We start from the raw sequence: 18052 nt of genomic DNA, 5'->3' as shown, positions 1-18052 counted from the left end.
TCGTGCTTAGGGTATAGGACCATGGGGAACAGGGGACCAGACCAGGGGTGAGTGGGGAGGGCACAAGGACCATGTGCCAGAATCCACCGCTTTCTGATTCCAGATTGAATTAAAATAAATAAATAAGGCCGGGCTCAGTGGCTCACACCTGTAATCCCAGCACTTTGGGAGGCCGAGACGGGCAGATCACGAGGTCAGGAGTTCAAGACCAGCCTGGCCAACATAGTGAAACCCTGTCTCTACTAAAAATACAAAAATTAGCCTGGCATGGTGGCACGTGCCTGTAATCCCAGCTACTCGGGAGGCTGAGGCAGGAGAACTGCTTAACCCAAGAGGTGGAGGTTGCAGTAAGCCGAGATGGTGCCCCGTGCACTCCAGCTTGGGCAACAGAGTGAGACTCTGTCTCAAATAAATAAACCACAAGCATCGCCCACCGTCTCCCCCCAACCAGGGCTGTAGTGCGAGCAGGGAAAAGGATGGCAGCTTCACCAAGGCCATGGCTTTGCTTGTTCCTGGCCAAGGGAGCTAGGTGAAGGGCAGGGGCTCCCCGACAGATTGAAGGGGTGGGAAAAACAAAATAAAACATCAAATACATTGTGTAGGAAGAGTCCAGCCTACAGAAGGCCAGAGGAGGGGGCCTCTGCAGTCTCAGAAGATCACTGCTGCCACCACTGTCACCCTGGGAGCCAGTTCTTTTGCCATGGCCTTGACTGCAACAGCTGCCTCCTCTGTCATGGCAGACAGCACGGTGATCAGGGTCCCTTCTCCACAGCGGTACTTTTGCTCATCTCCTTGCCAAGGTCTCCTCTGGCAGACGAAGAAGGTCCTCTCGCACCTCCCTGCTGTCCTGGAGCAGTGAGGGGTACCTTCCTGGATGCCAATCAACTGGGAGTCATTCCTTTTGATGCTGGGGACACCCACATTATAAGGTGACAGGCAGTTATTTTTATATTTCTTCCCAGTAAAGATGTCAATACCAACCAGGTGGACCTTGACGCGGCTGTGCTTGCCAGTCTTCCAAGCAGACATCTCAAAGACCTTACAGGGCCAGCCTTTGAGCACCACGAAGCCAGTGTTACATAATGCTGAGCACTGCATTGGGAAGGAGGCCGAGGCCCCTGCATCTCTTGTCTCGAAGTCCAAATCATCTGCCATTTTAAGAGGCTTCGATTCCAGCTCTCGCAAACACACTGACTCAACCTTGTCTTCTCGCTGCAAACCCAACCGCTGCCTCTGGGCCTGCTGCTGCCGCTGCCTCTACCACCCTGCCTTGACTTTAAACACACACAGCTGCAGGCATCACAATATTTTGCTTAAATGATCAGACTAGGCTCTGCAGCAACTACTCAACTCTGCCTTGTAGCATGAAAAGAGTAATAGATAGTATATAAACAAATGAGCCTGGACATGTGCAAATAAAACTTTATTTACAAACTCTGTCGGCTGGCCTGGGCTGTGGCTGCTGTGGATTGTCATTAGCTAAGCTCCATCAGAGATCCTTCCAGAAGGACATACAATAAACTAGGTGACTGCTTTTAGGAAGGTGAGCTGGCAAAGCCAAAGGAGGACAGGGAGAGAGAAACTTCCTTCTCTCTATATACATTTTTTAAAATGTTTAATTTTATTAATACATAATTATTATACATATTTATGGGGTACATGTGGTATTTCGATAAATGCATACAAGGATTGAGTCAGGGTAATTAGCATATCACCTCAAACATTTATCTTTTTTTTTTTTTTTTTTTGAGATGGAGTCTCGCTCTGTTGCCCAGGCTGGAGTGTAGTGGCACGATCTCGGCTCACTGCAACCTCTGCCTCCCGGGTTCAAGGGATTCTCCTGCCTCAGCCTCCCTAGTAGATGGAACTACAGGCATGTGCCACCACACCTGGCTAATTTTTGTATTTTTAGTAGAGACAGGGTTTCACTGTGTTAGTCAGGATGGTCTCTATCTCCTGACCTCATGATCCACCCACCTCGGCCTCCCACAGTGCTGGGATTACAAGCGTGAGCCACCGCGCCCGGCCCAAACATTGATCATTTCTTTATGTTGAATCTCTGTCCACCTTTTTACATCTTTTGAATACTGAGGCACATACAGGTCTAGTCATAAGCCGCATAAAGCCATTTCAGTCAATGATGGACTGCATATGCAGCCGGTGGTCCCATAAGATTTCCCACTATATTTTTACTGTCCCTTGTCTACGTTCATATACACAAATACCTACCACTGTGTTACACTTGCCGAGGGTACTCAGCACAGCCACATGCTGTGCAGGTGTGGAGCCCAAGAGCACTAGACTATTCCAGGTAGCCCAGGTGTGCAGTAGGCATGCCACCTAGGGTTTTTTTTTTTTTTTTTTTTTTTTGAGATGGAGTTTTACTCTTCTTGCCCAGGCTGGAGTGTAATAGCATGATCTCAGCTTACTGCAACCTCCACCTCCCAGGTTCAAACGATTCTCCTCCTGCCTCAGCCTTCCGAGTAGCTGAGATTACAGGCACACGCCACCACGCCAGGCTAATTTTGTATTTTTAATAGAGATGGGGTTTCACCAGGTTGGTCAGGCTGGTCTCAAACTCCTGACCTCAGGTGATCCGCCCATCTAGAACTCCCACAGTGCTGGGATTACAGGTGTGAGCCACCAGGCCTGACCAGGCCTAGGTTTGTGTAAGTCCACTAGGATGTTCACATGACCATGAAATCACCTAACGACGCAGTTCTCAGAATGTGTCATCATTAAGTGATATAGGACCGTATTACTACACAACTCACACATTAAGGTGAAAGAAACCAACATCACCAGCCCCTGAGCAGCCTGGCCACAGGCCGTGCTCCTGGTGATGTGCTGACTCAGAAGGCTCCCATTCCTGAGGCTTCCGGCAGATAATCAGATAATCGATAGGACCTGGTCACTGCTACATGCACAGGGATGGGCAGGGTGGAGAGAGAAGCTGGGAAGAACCTGGCTTCAAGCCTGGGTGACTGGATAGCTGGTGGGGTCCCAAACCAGGAAACACCGCAACACATGGAAATAGAGATGTCATTTTCTTTTAAGAGCATGGAGGCAAGTATTATTTACATAATCTCAAAAGAGAAAAGAAACACTTATTGTGGTATTTTCCAGAATTCTCAAGCCGGGGAGGTAGGGCGAGGGTGCAATAAAGTCACACCTGGAAACCAGGCCTGAGCTCTTGTTCACGACAATAAATAACCACCAACATGGCAGAGCCCCATTTCCCCACAGCATGCGGGCCTCGAAGCCAGGCGCCTGGGTTCCAATCCCTGCTCCGTCGCCAACAGCACAGAGCAGTGACTGCCCTGGGCCTCCCTGCTGCATCAACAGCACCTTCCCAGGGAGGGCTTGGTGAGCTCACCCAGCCTGGCACTCAGCACCACAAGGCACACAGGAAGGGCCCCTGTCCCTGCCCTCCAGAACCGTATGTTACAGTTGCTGCCACCACTCTGTGCCTGCCACATGCACCTACCCCACAAGGGGGCACCATCACCATCGTTCCACCTCACAGGCTCTGCAGGGAAGGTCCCAGTTGGGAGTCTCATGGCAGGTGAGTGACCGGCCCATGTGGGACAGCGTCTCAAGGAGCAGCCTGGGAATCCGGTGCTGGGCCTCTCTGCAGGACTCTCCATGCTTGTCAGCCCCCACGACTTGGGCACCATCCACCCCTATCTGGATGGTGGGCTGCACACCCTCGGGAAGGAGCCTGGGGCACAGGGGGTGTGGTCCACCTTTCCTGAAGCCTGTGCACTTGCAGCAGCCCCACAAGTAGAGATTTCAGGTCAAGTGAGAAACTCATCCCACAGGGAGCTCTGCCTTGGCGTGGGGTCTGGGAAAGGACGAAGAGGTCTGAGGCCAGAATGGCCCACTTCTCTTCCTGTCTTCCCCTGGGTGGACCAGCCTTGGTCACCCAATCTCTCTCACCCCAGGAGCCTGGATAGGCCTCTTCACTTTACCTTGACTCCCCGCTGTCCTCCCCAAAGGTTCTAGGAGTGGATAGGTGCCCCGTCCCACAACCTCTGTTACAATGATCGGTCAGGGACAGGAAGGTTACAGAGCCAGCCACAGCCGGTCCTACGCCCTGAGATGGAACTCTCAGGAAAGAGGAGCTCTCTTCCCACTAGGGTGGTTAAGACTGCATCCCATTTCTAGAGCTACTGGCAGCCATCCCTGCACCCATCAGGAGGGAACAGCCTTCCGCGAATGAAGCCAGCTCAGAGGAAAGCCAAGCTCAGATATTTTATTTTTTAGATGGAGTCTCGCTGTCGCCAGGCTGGAGTGCAGTGGTGTGATCTTGGCTCACTGCAACCTCTGCCTCCCAGGTTCAAGCAATTCTCCTGCCTCAGCCTCCTGAGTAGCTGGGACTACAGGCACGCGCCACCACACCCGGCTAATTTTTGTATTTTTAGTAGAGACGGGGTTTCACCATGTTGGCCAGGATGGTCTCCAGCTCTTGACCTAATGATCCGCCCGCCTCGGCCTCCCAAAGTGCTGGGATTACAGACGTGAGCCACTGTGCCCGGCCAAGCTCAGAGATTAAAGAGATATTGTTTGATAAAGAGATACTGTGCCTGACACCACACTATTCAGGACCCTTCAGACCCATAAGACAACAAATCTCCTCTTTTTGCTTCAACCATTCTGCCTCAGGCTTCGAATTTAGGAGAATTCCAAGCTTCGAATTTAGGAGAATTCCGTCTTGCCTCTCATCTGGTAAACATTTCCCAAAACCTATTTTTTGGGGGGTCCCCATCTGTCACCCAGGCTGGAGTTCAGCGGCTCAATCATAGCTCACTGCAGCCTTGCACTCCTGGGCTCAAGTGACCCTCCCACCTCAACCTCCCAAGTAGCTGAGACTACAGGCACACCCTACCATGCTTGGCCAGTTTTTTTTTTTTTTCTTTTTTTATGTAGAGACCGGGTCTCAGTATGTTGTACAGGTTGGTCTTGAACTCCTGGGCTCAGGTGATCCTCCTGCCCCAGCCTCCCAAAATGTTGGGATTACAGGTGTGAGCCACCAAGCCCAGTCCCCAAAACCTACTCAGGCCAAGCTCTGTGCTGGCACTGGGGAGACAGGGATGGCTCTGAACTGGTCCCTGCCCTCCAGGGGTTCTTGTCTGGCAGGGAAGGAGCACACAGATGATGCGTGAGAGCGAGGAGGGGGCCGTGCACGCACTGGACTGAGGAAAGGCCAGGCAGACAGGTAGAGTCAGGTCTCAGGGGCCGCCCTTCAGCCTTGTCAAAAAATCTGGACCTCTCTTGGGAGAATTTCTAGGATCATTGGGGGAAAAAAAAGAAAAGAAAAATAGACAATCTGGACCTCTCCACTCATGGGGCACTGTGCTCTGGCCACACCCAAATTCTTCCCGTCCCCCGAAGGGCCCGGTGCTTCCCAGCACCTCACATTCTCCCTCCCCTTTACACATTACACGGTACATGCTCTCACTGCTTACTACTTCTTCAATTCTCAGCTTAGGGATGCCTTCTCCAGGAAGCCCTCCCTGATCCCCACGGTAGGTCAGGCCCCACCCTCTGGGCTCCCCGTCTCAGCCCTGTCCCCTCTGAGTTGTCACCATCTGGAGACCTGTGTGTCTCCCCCACTGGACTATGAGTCCTAGGAAGACAGCATGGGGTGGTCTGTGGTCCACACTGTTACCCCAACATTGCTCCACATGGGGCCAGCCAGGCACAGAGAAGGGGCCAAGACAGGCACAGAGAAGGTGAGTGAGCGGACAGAGGAGAAGCTCACATCTGGCCACTGCAGTAGACCCTGAAGGTAGATGGGGATGTTCTGGCCAGGAAGGGCCCGGTCTACTCCATGCTTAGGAAGATTACTGCGGGGACTTGGCCCAGTGAACAAGGAAGCCTGCAGGCAGGGGAGAGGGATGCCAGGGCCTCAAAGCTGCAAGAAGCTACTCATGTAGTGAAACACGTTCTAAAATTCTAAAACATGCCCTAAAGCATTCCCTGCACAGAATGGTGCGAGCAGCTCTTTACTGAACCCCTTCCCTACCAGGCACTCTGCCAAACACTCGATTACTGCATTTAATCCGCATCATAATCCTGCAGAGTAGAATTTCCAGCCTCTACCACGCTACAGAGGGAATGGTCTTCTGAGGCCACACCTGTGGGAGCGGACAGAGGGAGGTTTGAACCAGAGCTGTCTGTCCTGCATCAGTACCCTGAAGCCCTCAGGCCCCGGCTTCAAACCGGACAGACAGGTTGTGGGAGCCTAGAAATGCAGCCTTCTCGAACTTCAAGACAGGGAGGCTGCCAGAGAGACTGTCTTTCTCTGTTGGGTTTCCAGGATGTGGAGAGCGGGTCCTGCCCTCAGCAAGGATGCGCTCGTAGGTTTCTTCCTGGTGCCTGCAGGAAGACCCAGCCTCCAGAGGCCCTTCACAGGTGCCAGTGCTGGGCGGGAGAGGTGTGGGCACCTGGTCCAGCCTGGGGTGCACTCACCCCTGGGACAGCCCCCAAATGCCTCCAATAGGCAGTGGCCCAATCCCCCACAAGCCAGCTCTGTCCCAGAGCCTTCTGCACAATCAGTGAGACAAATCCAGGGGCAGTGGCAGAACAGCATCAAGGCTATGATGGAGGGAGGGAGGGAGGGGACATGGAGGCGGGGAGGATGGCCAGGCTGGGATCAGCTGCAGCGGGAGGCATCTGGAAAAGTCTCAGAGATGACAAAGATGCAAAAGGCGTCTCTGGCAGAGGGAACTTTGTGAAGAAAGTGCAGGTGCAGGAGGCTGCCTGATGCATCTGGCAGTGAGCTGCACAGATCGGGACCTGGAGTGTGAGACGAGAGGGGTCAGCAAGGAGGCTGGAGGGGTCAAGGTCCTGCTTATGGAGCACGGGAGGCAAAGCATGCACATGGGAGAGCTGCATGGCCAGACCTCACTTGGGGGTGCTGGGGAGGGGCTGCTACAGTCATTGAGGTCCTGATCCTTGCCAGTGGCAGAGCCATCTGGACACAGTGCCTCAGGGTCTTTGCACCTGTTACCCCCTGCCCAGAGCACCCCTCTTCCTCACACCCCAACGGCTCCTTCCCTCCCTGCCTGCAGGTCTTCACTCCCAAGTCACCTCCTCAAAGGCCTTCCCTGGCCACCCTCCAAAAAGTCAGCCCCTTTATCACTATGAATCCCTGCTTCCTTCTCTAGGTGGCACTTCTCATGACCCAGCAGGAAGCGTACTGATCTGTGCATTTATGCTATAATGAGGGGAGAACTCTTACCCCTTTTGTTCACTGAAATATCCCCAGAAGGGTCTTTACTGGGCACACAGTAAGTGCTCAATAAATATGTGTTGACTGAAGGAACAGGAAGGTGGGGCTGGGGTGGGTCTCTGGAGTCAGCACAGGTGTGAGTCCCCAACTCAGACAGGGCCAGCTGGGTGAACTCAGGGAAGGTCCCTTCTTGTCTATGGCAGGCTTTTGGGTGCCCTGCACTCAGGCAGCGAAGGTGTGCACGTGATGAGGTCACCAATGGGTGTGCTCAGCCCAGAGCCAGCCTGGGGCAAATGCCTTCTACGCACCTTCACTAGGTGTCCAGTTCCGTCCTCTGCTCCCACAATGCCACGGCCTCAGTTGGGGGGCAGGGGAGGGACAGAACCACACAAGGCCTCCTGGGGCCTGAAATAGGGAGGAGGAGGCAGAAGAGTACCCACAGAGCTTTCTGTGGGAACCCCACACCCCCAAGGCCTCGCTACCTCTGCGGATGTGCTGCTGCACGTCTCTATCCCTGCAAAACCACACGTCTACACTGCCCACGTGGAGACCATCCTCACTCCCGCCTCCAAGCCCTTCCCCAGGCTGCTCCACACAGAATCAGAGTCTGATCAGTCATGTAAGCCCAATGCAGTGGGCTTCCCAAGGGCAGGTATTTCTCAGGGGAGTATCTTTACTGAAAGGGGCCCCAGGGCAGCCTGATATGTAGTCAAACCCAGATTTCTAAGTCCAATCCTGGAGCAACCACAGAATGACGCCCGTGGAGGCCCCAGCACCCCACCGCGGGCATCCAGAGGCCCCTCAAGAGCAGGGCTCACACCAGCCCCTGGACTCCCTGTATACACTGCACACAGCTGCCCACACATCTCTCAGGTCCTTGCGTGAGGACCCTGTATATTCACTGCGTGGCACTGGTCAGGTTTCCTGGGTAGAAAAGGCTCTTCCTGCCTCTAACCTTCTTCCTGTATTTGGGGAGCTCCCTACCTAGGGAATCCAGTGGCCTCAATCCCGCCCATGCGAGGGCCCAGCTGTCCTCCTGCCTGGTGACATCCTCCCCACACATTCCCTTGCTACAAATTCTGCAGGGGTCTGTTTCTGGGCTTACAGCCGAGGGCCATGGCTGACACATGCACTGCCTCCCATGGCAGGGAGACAGACGCCCTGAGGAGGAAAGTCCCTCATCCCAGAGTGTGAGTGTAAATGCAGGTCTGTGCTTCTGACCCCCTCTTCCAGCCACTGCCATGCATTTCCCAACAGTAATCATCCCCACGCTCTCCCACCACTCCTACAATCCCCAGTGGCACTCAGCAGAGAGGCATGGGGGAAGAGAACAAACACTGCTTGGGGCCCTTCTACTGTGCTTTACCGGTGGAGCCGTAACTTTGCGCCCACTCCCAAAACTAAGCGATTGACAAACTCGATCTCGTTTCCACTTCCTAATGGCCCTGAGAAATAGAAATTATCTCCCCAACTTTCCAGGGGACGCTTAGAGATGAGAAAGGACCTGACCAAGGACATGGTTCCGTCTCAAAGGCAATTTGGCAAGACCAGTCAAAAGTACAAATGTGCGGGGCACAGTGGGTCACGCCTGTAATCCCAACACTTTGAGAGGCCAAGGCTGAGGCAGGTGGATCACCTGAGGTCAGGAGTTGGAGACCAGCCTGGCCAACATGGTGAAACCCCCGTCTCTACTAAAAATACAAAAATTAGCCAGGTGTGGTAGCGGGTGCCTATAATCCCAGCTACTTGGGAGGAGAATCGCTTGAACCTGGGAGGCGGATGTTGCAATGAGACAGCGCCACTGCACTCCAGCCTGGGCAACAGAGCAAGACTCCATCTCAAAAAAAAGTAACATGCATATACCCTTTGATTAGCAATTACACACCTGGAGATTAATCCTACAGACATACTTGCAAAGATGAAAAATCATACATGTAAGGACAGTCACTGCAGCAGCTTGTGAATGCAGAACCGGAACCAACCACAATATCCACCAGCAGGGACCGGCTAGCTCCCCAGAGTTCATCCACGCAGTGGAGCCCTGCCGCCACAGAGAATGAGTGTGCGCTCTCTTAGCCAACAGGGAACAGGTTTCAAGACACAAATGAAAAAAGCAAGGTGCAGAACGGTATGCTCATGAATGCTACCCTTTATGCAAGAAGTGGGGAAAGCCGGGTGCGGTGGCTCACGCCTCTAATCCCAGCACTTTGGGAGGCTAAGGTGGGCGGATCACAAGGTCAGGAGATCGAGACCATCCTGGCTAACACAGTGAAACCTTGTCTCTACTAAAAATACAAAACATTAGTCAGGCGTGGTGGCGGGCACCTGTAGTCCCAGCTACTTGGGAGGCTGAGGCAGGAGAATGGCGTGAACCTGGGAGGAGGAGCTTGCAGTGAGCGGAGATCGCGCCACTGCACTCCAGCCTGGGCGACAGAGTGAGACTCCATCTCAAAAAAAAAAAAAAAAAAAAAGAAGGGGAAAATAAAAAATCTGTGCTCCTCATTTAAAAGCAAATGAACACAGAGATGGAGTAGCCAGTGAAGCAGCCGGGAACCAGGAACAAAGAGGGACCCCAGGCCCTTCTCCGGGCTTCCTGGCAGCCCCTAAAGCCCCTCCTGGGGCGGCGGCCTCCTTCAAACAGCAAGGTTGTGCGGGGTGCTGGGGGGTGGAGCTGGCTCTTCTCTGAGCACCACACCCACCACCTCTCATGTGTGCAGAGCCACAAGAGACACAGCCCTACCTGGCCACTTTCCCAGTGGTCTGATCCTGGGCCTGGGGCAGATGACAGTGGAGGACAGAGGGTGCCGGCTTGGGGCTGAGTGTTCCCACTGTTTCACAAGCAATGTATAGGTAAAATGATAGCTATCTTAGAGCTGCTGCAAAATAATGCAGGTGAGAGTGGCATGGAGATAGGCAGGAACAGATTGGCCATGTAGTCATCAATTCTGAAGCCAGAAAGTGGGTCGGTCCATCAGACTCATTATACTCCTACTTTCTTGTGTCTGAAAATGTCCATCAAAACACAGTTAAACGGGCCAGGCACCGTGGCTCATGCCTGTGATCCCAGCACTTTGGGAGGCCAAGGTGGGCAGATCACCTGAGGTCAGGAGTTCGACACCAGTCGGGCCAACAGGGCAAAACCCCATCTCTACAAAATACAAAAATTAGCCAGGTATGGTGACACATGCCTGTAATCCCAGCTACTCAGGAGGCTGAGGCAGGAGAATCGCTTGAACCTGGGAAGCAGAGGCTGCAGTGAGCTGAGATCGTGTCACTGCACTCCAGCCTGGGTGACAGAGAGCAAGACTCTGTCTCAAAAAAAAAAAAAAATTAGACGGGTGTTGTGGCACGTGCCTGTAATCCCAGCTACTCGGGAGGCTGGGGCAGGAGAATCGCTTGAACCCAGGAGGTGGAAGCTGCAGTGAGTGAGATCACACCACTGCACTCCAGCATGAGTGACAGAGAATGAGACTCCGTCTCAAAAACCAAAAAACAAAACAAAAAGTTAAATGAGAAAAAAAAAAAAGCAGCAGCTGCTCAGAGGCGGTGGCCCACAAGGAACCCAGAGGCGGCAGGTGGGCCGGGAGGGAGGTCTGGCACCAAGGCCAGTCTCTCACGACAGAATTAGTTATAAAGCCCAGCCCGGCTGTGGAGGCAGCCACCTGGGTGGCTCCCTGGGGCCCGGCCAGCAGGTGCTCAGTGAACGTGGGCTAAAGGAAGGAAGGAACTTGGGCCTCATGCCCACCCCTGAGGGACAGGACAGCCAGATGGAGGGTTGTCAAAGGAGAACTCTGAGGTACACGGTGAGGGGTGGCAGGAAGCTGGGGCTCCTGGCACAAGTCCGTAACTGTGGTGTCCCAACGTTCGGCAGGGAGTCCACTGACAGCTGTCATTTACTACGCAGTTATCTCAGGCAAGCCCTTTATGTACCCGAGCTCCCTGAAACCTTAGCACATCCCTGGGAAGGGGATATGGCCGGGACCCCCAACCCAAGACAAAGAAGAGGAGGGTCAGAAAGGTCACATCCCTGAGTGACCACACAGACCACACACTGTGGGGATCCTCCTCTTTCACTGCTGAGCCACTATGACCTTCAGAGTCAGCCTCCTAAATGAGAGCCCAAAGTCAGCTCCGTGGCCACACACTTGCCTTCCAGGAACAACATCCTCAGATGCCCTGTGACACAGGTCACAGGCCCCGGGCTTCCCACCCACTCTGCACTGGGGAACCCTCTCCCCCTGCTAAACTGGGAGCTCCCCTGGGCACTCATGGGGACAGCGGCTGGGTGCCGGGAGGCCTGGACATAGAATAGGGCAGTGACACAGGCCAGCCTGAGGGGAGGGCTGCAGCTACCTCTGTAGGCAGTTGGAAGCCCAGGCGGGGACTTCTGGCTGCTGAGCCTGTTCGGAAAAACCTCTGCCTGTGACTCCTTGGGAAAAATGAAGGGACGCTGGTGGTGAGTTCTTCTTCCCAGTGAACAACCGCTGGGCACCTCCACCCCCAACAGCCTCTCAGTAACCCAGAGGCCTGAGAAACGCGGATCACGCGGGGGCTGGAGCTGTAAGGCTGAGGAGGACACCTTCCCCAGCAGCCTCGGGCTCATCAGCTGAGCCACTGAGTCAACAATGCCAAGGACGAGCACTGGCTTACGGAGCCAGCCTCCTGCCAGGTGCTACTCTAAGACTAACTCTGCGGCCTCATTCTTGCAGCCCGGTCTACCAGCTGCCCTAAGCCTTTGCTCGGGTAGCCCCACTGGCCTGTCCCTGCCTTGGGTGGGATGGCTGGGACAATCTCCAGGCTAGGTTTCCCACCACCAGTCAGCGCTTCAGAACTGCATGCCCATGGTAGGCACACAGAAGACCTGGTGGGGACCTGCAGGGAGACTCCCTGAGATCACCTCCCACCGTAGAAGGAAAACCCACGTCCTGTGCAGTCCCCGCCATTCAGACCCAAAGCAGGCGCACAATTAGCTTAGGAGACCGTGCAGGAGCGGGCTGGTTGCTGCCACAGGCTTTCACTCGGCACCACCTGTCCCTGCACTGAGAGTAAAACCTCAACTCCTCAGCCCAGGACAAGGCCCCCTGATGCCAGCACTCCACCGGGGCTCACCCTCGGCTCGCCCACGCCTCCTCAGCCACTCTACAGGCTTTGTGGTTTGTTCCCGCCTCCGGGTCTGCAACTGCTCTTCCCTCCCTCTGACAGCTTCCCTCCCCTCCTGCAGCTTAAGCCGCAGCTGACTTGCCATTCAGATCTCAACTCGAAAGTCACCTCCTGGCCAGGCGCAATGGCTCACACCTGTAATCCCAGCACTTTGGGAGGCTGAGGCGGGTGCATCACTTGAGGTCAGGAGTTCGAGACCAGCCTGACCAATATGGTGAAACCCCATCTCTACTAAAAATACAAAAATTAGCCGGGTGTGGTGACACGTGCCTGTAGTCCCAGATACTTGGGAGGCTGAGACAGGAGAATCGCTTGAGCTGGGAGATGGAGGCTGCAGTGAGCCAAGATCGTGCCACTGCACTCCAGCCTGGGCAAAAAGAGCGAAACTCTGTCTCAAAAAAAAAAAAAAAAAAAGTCACCTCCTCTGAGAAGCCTCTCCTGACCCCTTTCTGTAGCAGCACCCCCATCCCCATCCCCCACACCACACCCAGACAACACTCTGCCTCCTCACTGGACACGTCCCAATCTCTAAGGATCTACTTGCTCGTTTTCTGTCCTAGACCAAGGGCTCCCTGAGTCTAGGGACGTCACTGTGGTGTCTGTCGCTGTGAGTCTATGAATGAACGAATGCACCGACTCACTCTGGGAAATGAAGACAACGTCCACCCTTCCCTTCTCCCCAGAGAACCACGGGCTGGAGGGAAGGGAGCCCGCAATGCGTCCTGGAAAGTTAGCCTGCTCAGGGGAGGCTGGGATGGCCGGTCCTTCCCTCTCAGACCCCCGTGCCCTCCTCAGGCCTGCTGAGAGGCCGTGAGTCCTGCAGTTTCCTGGGTGAGAGGGGCTCTTCTCTGCCCTTCCCGGCAGGGAGGCACCACCATTCAGCCAGTGGGTACCGTGGCCACATGCTGCAGGATGGCCAGCTCCAGGGGGCGGGCTAGGCTTACATAGCCAACAAGGAGCCAGGCCTCCAGACCCCAGGCCTCAGGCAGGGATGTGGGCAAGGCCTGCCCACTCCAGTGAAGGGCGCAGATGGCAGGTGCCACAGGCCTGCCTTCCCTTCCCCTCGTCCTGACCTTCCCAACTGCCTGCCGCAGCTGAAGATCCTGTTACAGAAACAGATGCGGTCAGAACACACTCATGGCTTTCCAAGTCTCTTGGGACGGAAGGAACAAGGCAGATTGGGCGCACCTTCCCTCATGCCACAGCGCCTCACACACAGCAGCTGCATGTAAGGTCAATGGCAGGCTTGGATGAAAGCGGAAGTCAAGGCCTTAATCCCTGGGTCCCCAGTCAAGCAGTGTGCTAAGCACCCGAGTCCCCCCATGTGACACACAACTTTTTTTTTTTTTTTGAGACAGAGTCTCACTCTTGTCACCCAGGCTGGAGTGCAGTGGCACAATCTCAGCTCACTGCAACTTCCGCTTCCTGGGTTCACGCAATTCTCCTCCCTCAGCCTCCCGAGTAGGTGGGATTATAGGCACCCGCCACCACACCAGGCTAATTTTGTATTTTTAGCAGAGACGGGGTTTCACCATGTTGGCCAGGCTGGTCTCGAACTCCGGACCTCAGATGATCCACCCGCCTCGGCCTCCCAAAGTGCTGGGATTATAGATGTGAGCCACTGCGCCTGGCCGCAACTTTTAACGATAAATAATTTTTACGAGCAATGGCAAGCACTTACATATACTACCTCATTTACTGTCTTCAACAACCCTAAGATAGGTAGGGTTTATTATCCCCATTTCAAATGGGGAAACTGAGGCCACAGAATCAGTAAAAGTCAGAGCCGGGATTCGAGCCTGAGCAGTCTATGGCTCCACAATCCTCACTCTTAGCCAAACCCTTGACCTTTCTGTTCATGCCACGGTTTGGGGTACAGCTATCCCTCCCCCATCCTTTCCAAAGGAGGAAACTGAGGCGCAGGGAGATGGAGCATGTGCCAAGGACACACAGCACAGGTAGGCCTGACTTCAAAGCCCACTTCATCTGGTTGGTGGACCCCATGCCTCACCCAAGAGTTTAAGGCGTTCAATATCCTGACCCAAGCCAGGTACCTACCCACCAGCCTCGCCACTGTCTCCTCTGTTCCAGCCTTGGTTTATTTCCTTCCAGACCCTTCTCTCAATCTGCAGTGGTGCTGTCTGCTGGTTGGCCAACTTGTTTCCCACACTTCCCTCTCTCTGGACAATAAGCCTGGAAGGCAGGGCCGGGCTTGCCTTGCCACTGCTGTGTCCCCAGTACAGGACTGGGCACTGAGCTCAATACTCGCTGAATGCATGCCTGAACCACTAAGAAAACACAGCCAATCCTGTGGTGGAGACTAATAACACTCTCAGAACACAAGGGCCCAAGACTGTCCCCTAGCCCAGGGCTTTCTGCTGGGATGTGTAGGGGGAGTTAGGGGGTTCCTTTATGGCCTCCATAAGCCCCCCAGCTGGAAGGAGCTTCCCAAAGGGATGTACACATCTGAGGACACTAGTGACTTTCTGCCTTGTGATGTGAATGCACCTTCCGAAAATTTAATTTTTTATATTTTGTGGAGATGGGGGGGGGGGTCTCACTTGTTGCCCAGGGTGGTCTTGAACTCCTGGCCTCAAGTGATCCTCCTGCCTCGGCCTCCCAAAGTGCTGGAATTATAGGTGTGAGCCACTATGCCCAGCCTGTGAATGCACCTTCTAAACACATGTAACAGCAACCTAGTGAGGGCATGGCCTTTGCAGTCAGACCTTGTATTTGGGGGTGCCTATTTGGGGTGTCTGCAGAGCCTCCTCTAAAAACTGCCCTCCACCCCAACAAGCGTGGGCTGGCCCTCTATCGCCCATTTGACAGGGAGGATGTGGGGTCCTAGCTAAGCCTGCATGAGCTGCCCGGGTCAGGGGGCTGGACTGGGTGGTCCTGTTCCAGACACCAGGAGGGCTGGGCTTGTGTGGCCCATGGCCAGCCTAGTGGAAGACGTTCTGAAGAGAGAAAGAGGAACAAGGAGTGCATGTGTTCCAGAGAGCAGGTGGCAGACCTGGTTCCTGCCAGCTTTCAGGACCCCTGGGAACAGGCAAAGCCTGGCCTCCATCCAATGAACACCCTCATTCACCTCCTGTGGCCCCAGGTGGATTCTGGCCCTGATAACTCAACAGACCCCAGTTGACACAGGCAATGGCTCTCGACCCTTCATGGCTGAGTCTCCTCATCTGCAAAATGGAGCCAATGAGACTGAGACTGACACACAAAGACTTCTAAAAGCAGCCACTGAACTCTCTTGTGTAAAGCGTCTAGTGTGGGGCTGGCGCGTGGCAAACGGAAGCCCCTGTTATTGCAGAGGCCAACGCCTCAGCAGCCCCCGGGAGAGTGGATGCTGGATGAGCAAAGAGCAAGCAGAGCCACCAGCTCCAGCCAGGGGCCCCCAGTCACCACCCCACCTGCTGCCTCCACCTGCCCCCGGGCTCTGAAACGCTGACCACACCCACTCCTGTCTGCCCTGAGACAAATATTTACCCAGGGCTGGGCACCTGATGGTGCCGAAGTGAAGACCTGGGGATAAATAATCACCAAGAGTGGTGAGGGGGCGGAGAGAACTCTCTGAGTGAGCTCACGGAGTGGAGGGGAACGCAGACTCAGGGACAAAGGCAGCGATGGCCCAGGGCTGACCCTGCCTCCTCAAATCAGAGGCAGCACTGGGGCCAAGTAACTCTGTTCCTCAGTCTCCCCATTTCCAGCTTTGCCATGAAGAGTCAAGAGGACAGGAGGTAAAGCTCTCTGAATGCCTGGTGCCTGCAGACAGGCTCTGCTACCATCGTGCAGGGCAGGGGCTGGGCTCTGGCTGCCAGGAGTGAAGTTCAGATTTGCCACTGACTAGCTGTGAGGAGCTGGATCTCTCCTTCATTGGTAAAATGGGGCAGCAATTCCACCTACCTCGTGGGATATGGATGGGATAAAACCAGCTGATGCACGGAGGGCTCAACGCCATGCGTGGCACCCAGTGGGTGTTCCACCAACGCTAGCTATTATGATTCCTGTTACGAATCTACAGGCCCACAGTGGCCCCCATACAGCCCTAACTGCTCTGGCACTGCATGAGAAGGCTGGCCTTTTCTACTTTTTTTCTAAGGGTAATGCACATCTTCCTGCCCTCACCCTCTTCAGAAAAGACATGCCAACACTTGAGCTCCCAGAGGGCCGGGTGGGCTTCACATTTCTCTGTGAGGACCCTGCCAGCCGCACATCCCCAGCCCTGCACACTATGGAAGGGGTGTGTAGTTAGGCACTGACTCTTCTCTAAGCTGTCGAGGGCAGGAGCTGTGACCCCTCCCTCTGCCACAGAGCCCAGCACAGGTAAAGGAATCTTGAACACTCAGGCATTAGGGAAAGTATGAGGCTTTGGGCTTACATGGCCTTGGGGTCCAGGTCCTACTCCAGAAAGTCCTGGATACTAGAATCCATTTCTTCCTCTTGACCCCAACTGCCTCAAGCTCAACAGTACCTGCTTCACCCAGCACCTGCTTCACCCAGCACCTGCTCTGTGCCCCGGGCAGGGTCATGCTGGAAACAGCGTCCAAGACAACCCTAATCCTGGTCTCTGTCCACACAGGAGTCCTGGTCCAGTCGGGAAGGCAGACCCATCCCTAGACAGTGACAAGCCAGAGTAGGTAGAGCTGGGGCAAAGGAAACCCCTAACCCAGACTTGGGGTTGGGGGCGTCCTGAAAGAGGGACCATCTAACACCACTGGCCACTAGAGGGCAGGGACTGTGAGTCTTGTTCGCATTGCCCCCCAGAACATAACTACACTAGGCACACAGCTGCTGCTCCCCTAAGTAGGTGCTGAAGGAAAGACAGCCAGGAAGGAGACTCTTGGAGAACAAGCAGGAGTCAGTCAGGTAAAAGGTGGCGAGAGCCACTTCAGAAAGATTGGCATTACCTTGAGAAGCCAAATGTACTCATCAACTATGACCAGCCATTCTGTTCCTAGCTCCAGACTCTAGCGAAAGTCTTGCTCACGCCCCAGGTGAAATGTATCAGAAGGTAATCCCACGCCTGTCATCCCAGCACTCCAGGTGAAATGTATCAGAAGGAATCCATGCCTGTAATCCCAACACTTTGGGAGGCAGAGGCGGGCGGATCACTTGAGGTCAGGAGTTCCAAGACCAGCCTGACAGACATGGTGAAACCCTGTCTCTACTAAAAATACAAAAAAGTTAGCCAGGTGTGGTGGCAGGAGCCTGTAATCCCAGCTGGGATTTGGGAGGCTGAGGCAGGAGAATCGCCTGAATTCAGGATGCAGAGGTTGTAGTGAGCCAAGATTATGCCACTGCACTCCAGCCTGGACGACAGAGCGAGACTGTCTCAAAAGAAAAAAAAAAAGAAAGAAAAGAAAAACCAAGACCCAGGAATTTCCTCACAATACCATGTTTATGAAACTCAAAAACAGGCAGAACGAAACACCATGCTTTTCAGCATGCAGACATGGTTGATAAAACTTTTAAAAAGGCCACCTGATGACCCTTTCCCTTTTTATTGAACCTGACACACCTGTCCCTCACCCATCCACCCCCGCCCCCCGCAAAAAATAAAAAACACAGAATGACAATGACAACAGTCAGGACAGTGGGCTCCCTCCACCCACCCACAGGCAGAGGTGAGTTAATGGCAATGTTCTCACTCTG

At 54.3% G+C, this 18052-nt stretch overlaps 1 protein-coding gene and 1 pseudogene across 1 annotated transcript in view, besides 6 other annotated features; both read right to left on the bottom strand.

Moving 5' to 3' along the window:
* PPP1R37 (protein phosphatase 1 regulatory subunit 37) overlaps window positions 1-18052 on the bottom strand; it is a 54107-nt gene that overhangs the window by 17563 nt on the left and 18492 nt on the right. The gene's annotated exons all lie outside the window — the stretch shown is intronic.
* On the bottom strand, window positions 442-1265 carry EIF5AP3 (eukaryotic translation initiation factor 5A pseudogene 3; annotated as a pseudogene).
* Window positions 3579-3718: an enhancer, noted in NCBI's record as "active region_14785". NCBI's record gives its function as "activates an Ori minimal core promoter by ATAC-STARR-seq in GM12878 lymphoblastoid cells {active_cell/tissue: GM12878}" and the evidence as "EXISTENCE:reporter gene assay evidence [ECO:0000049][PMID:35858748]".
* Window positions 7626-7815: an enhancer, noted in NCBI's record as "active region_14784". NCBI's record gives its function as "activates an Ori minimal core promoter by ATAC-STARR-seq in GM12878 lymphoblastoid cells {active_cell/tissue: GM12878}" and the evidence as "EXISTENCE:reporter gene assay evidence [ECO:0000049][PMID:35858748]".
* Window positions 10479-10528: an enhancer, noted in NCBI's record as "active region_14783". NCBI's record gives its function as "activates an Ori minimal core promoter by ATAC-STARR-seq in GM12878 lymphoblastoid cells {active_cell/tissue: GM12878}" and the evidence as "EXISTENCE:reporter gene assay evidence [ECO:0000049][PMID:35858748]".
* Window positions 10709-10758: an enhancer, noted in NCBI's record as "active region_14782". NCBI's record gives its function as "activates an Ori minimal core promoter by ATAC-STARR-seq in GM12878 lymphoblastoid cells {active_cell/tissue: GM12878}" and the evidence as "EXISTENCE:reporter gene assay evidence [ECO:0000049][PMID:35858748]".
* Window positions 12299-12458: an enhancer, noted in NCBI's record as "active region_14781". NCBI's record gives its function as "activates an Ori minimal core promoter by ATAC-STARR-seq in GM12878 lymphoblastoid cells {active_cell/tissue: GM12878}" and the evidence as "EXISTENCE:reporter gene assay evidence [ECO:0000049][PMID:35858748]".
* Window positions 12637-13292: an enhancer, noted in NCBI's record as "H3K4me1 hESC enhancer chr19:45619689-45620344 (GRCh37/hg19 assembly coordinates)". NCBI's record gives its function as "activates a minimal SCP1, AML or CMV promoter by ChIP-STARR-seq in primed H9 embryonic stem cells {active_cell/tissue: H9 hESC(primed)}" and the evidence as "EXISTENCE:reporter gene assay evidence [ECO:0000049][PMID:30033119]".

The sequence above is a fragment of the Homo sapiens genome, chromosome 19 (genome assembly GCF_000001405.40).
Source record: "Homo sapiens chromosome 19, GRCh38.p14 Primary Assembly".
NCBI classification, from domain to species: Eukaryota; Metazoa; Chordata; class Mammalia; order Primates; family Hominidae; genus Homo; species Homo sapiens.
This window is presented reverse-complemented; position numbering and strand designations above follow the sequence as displayed.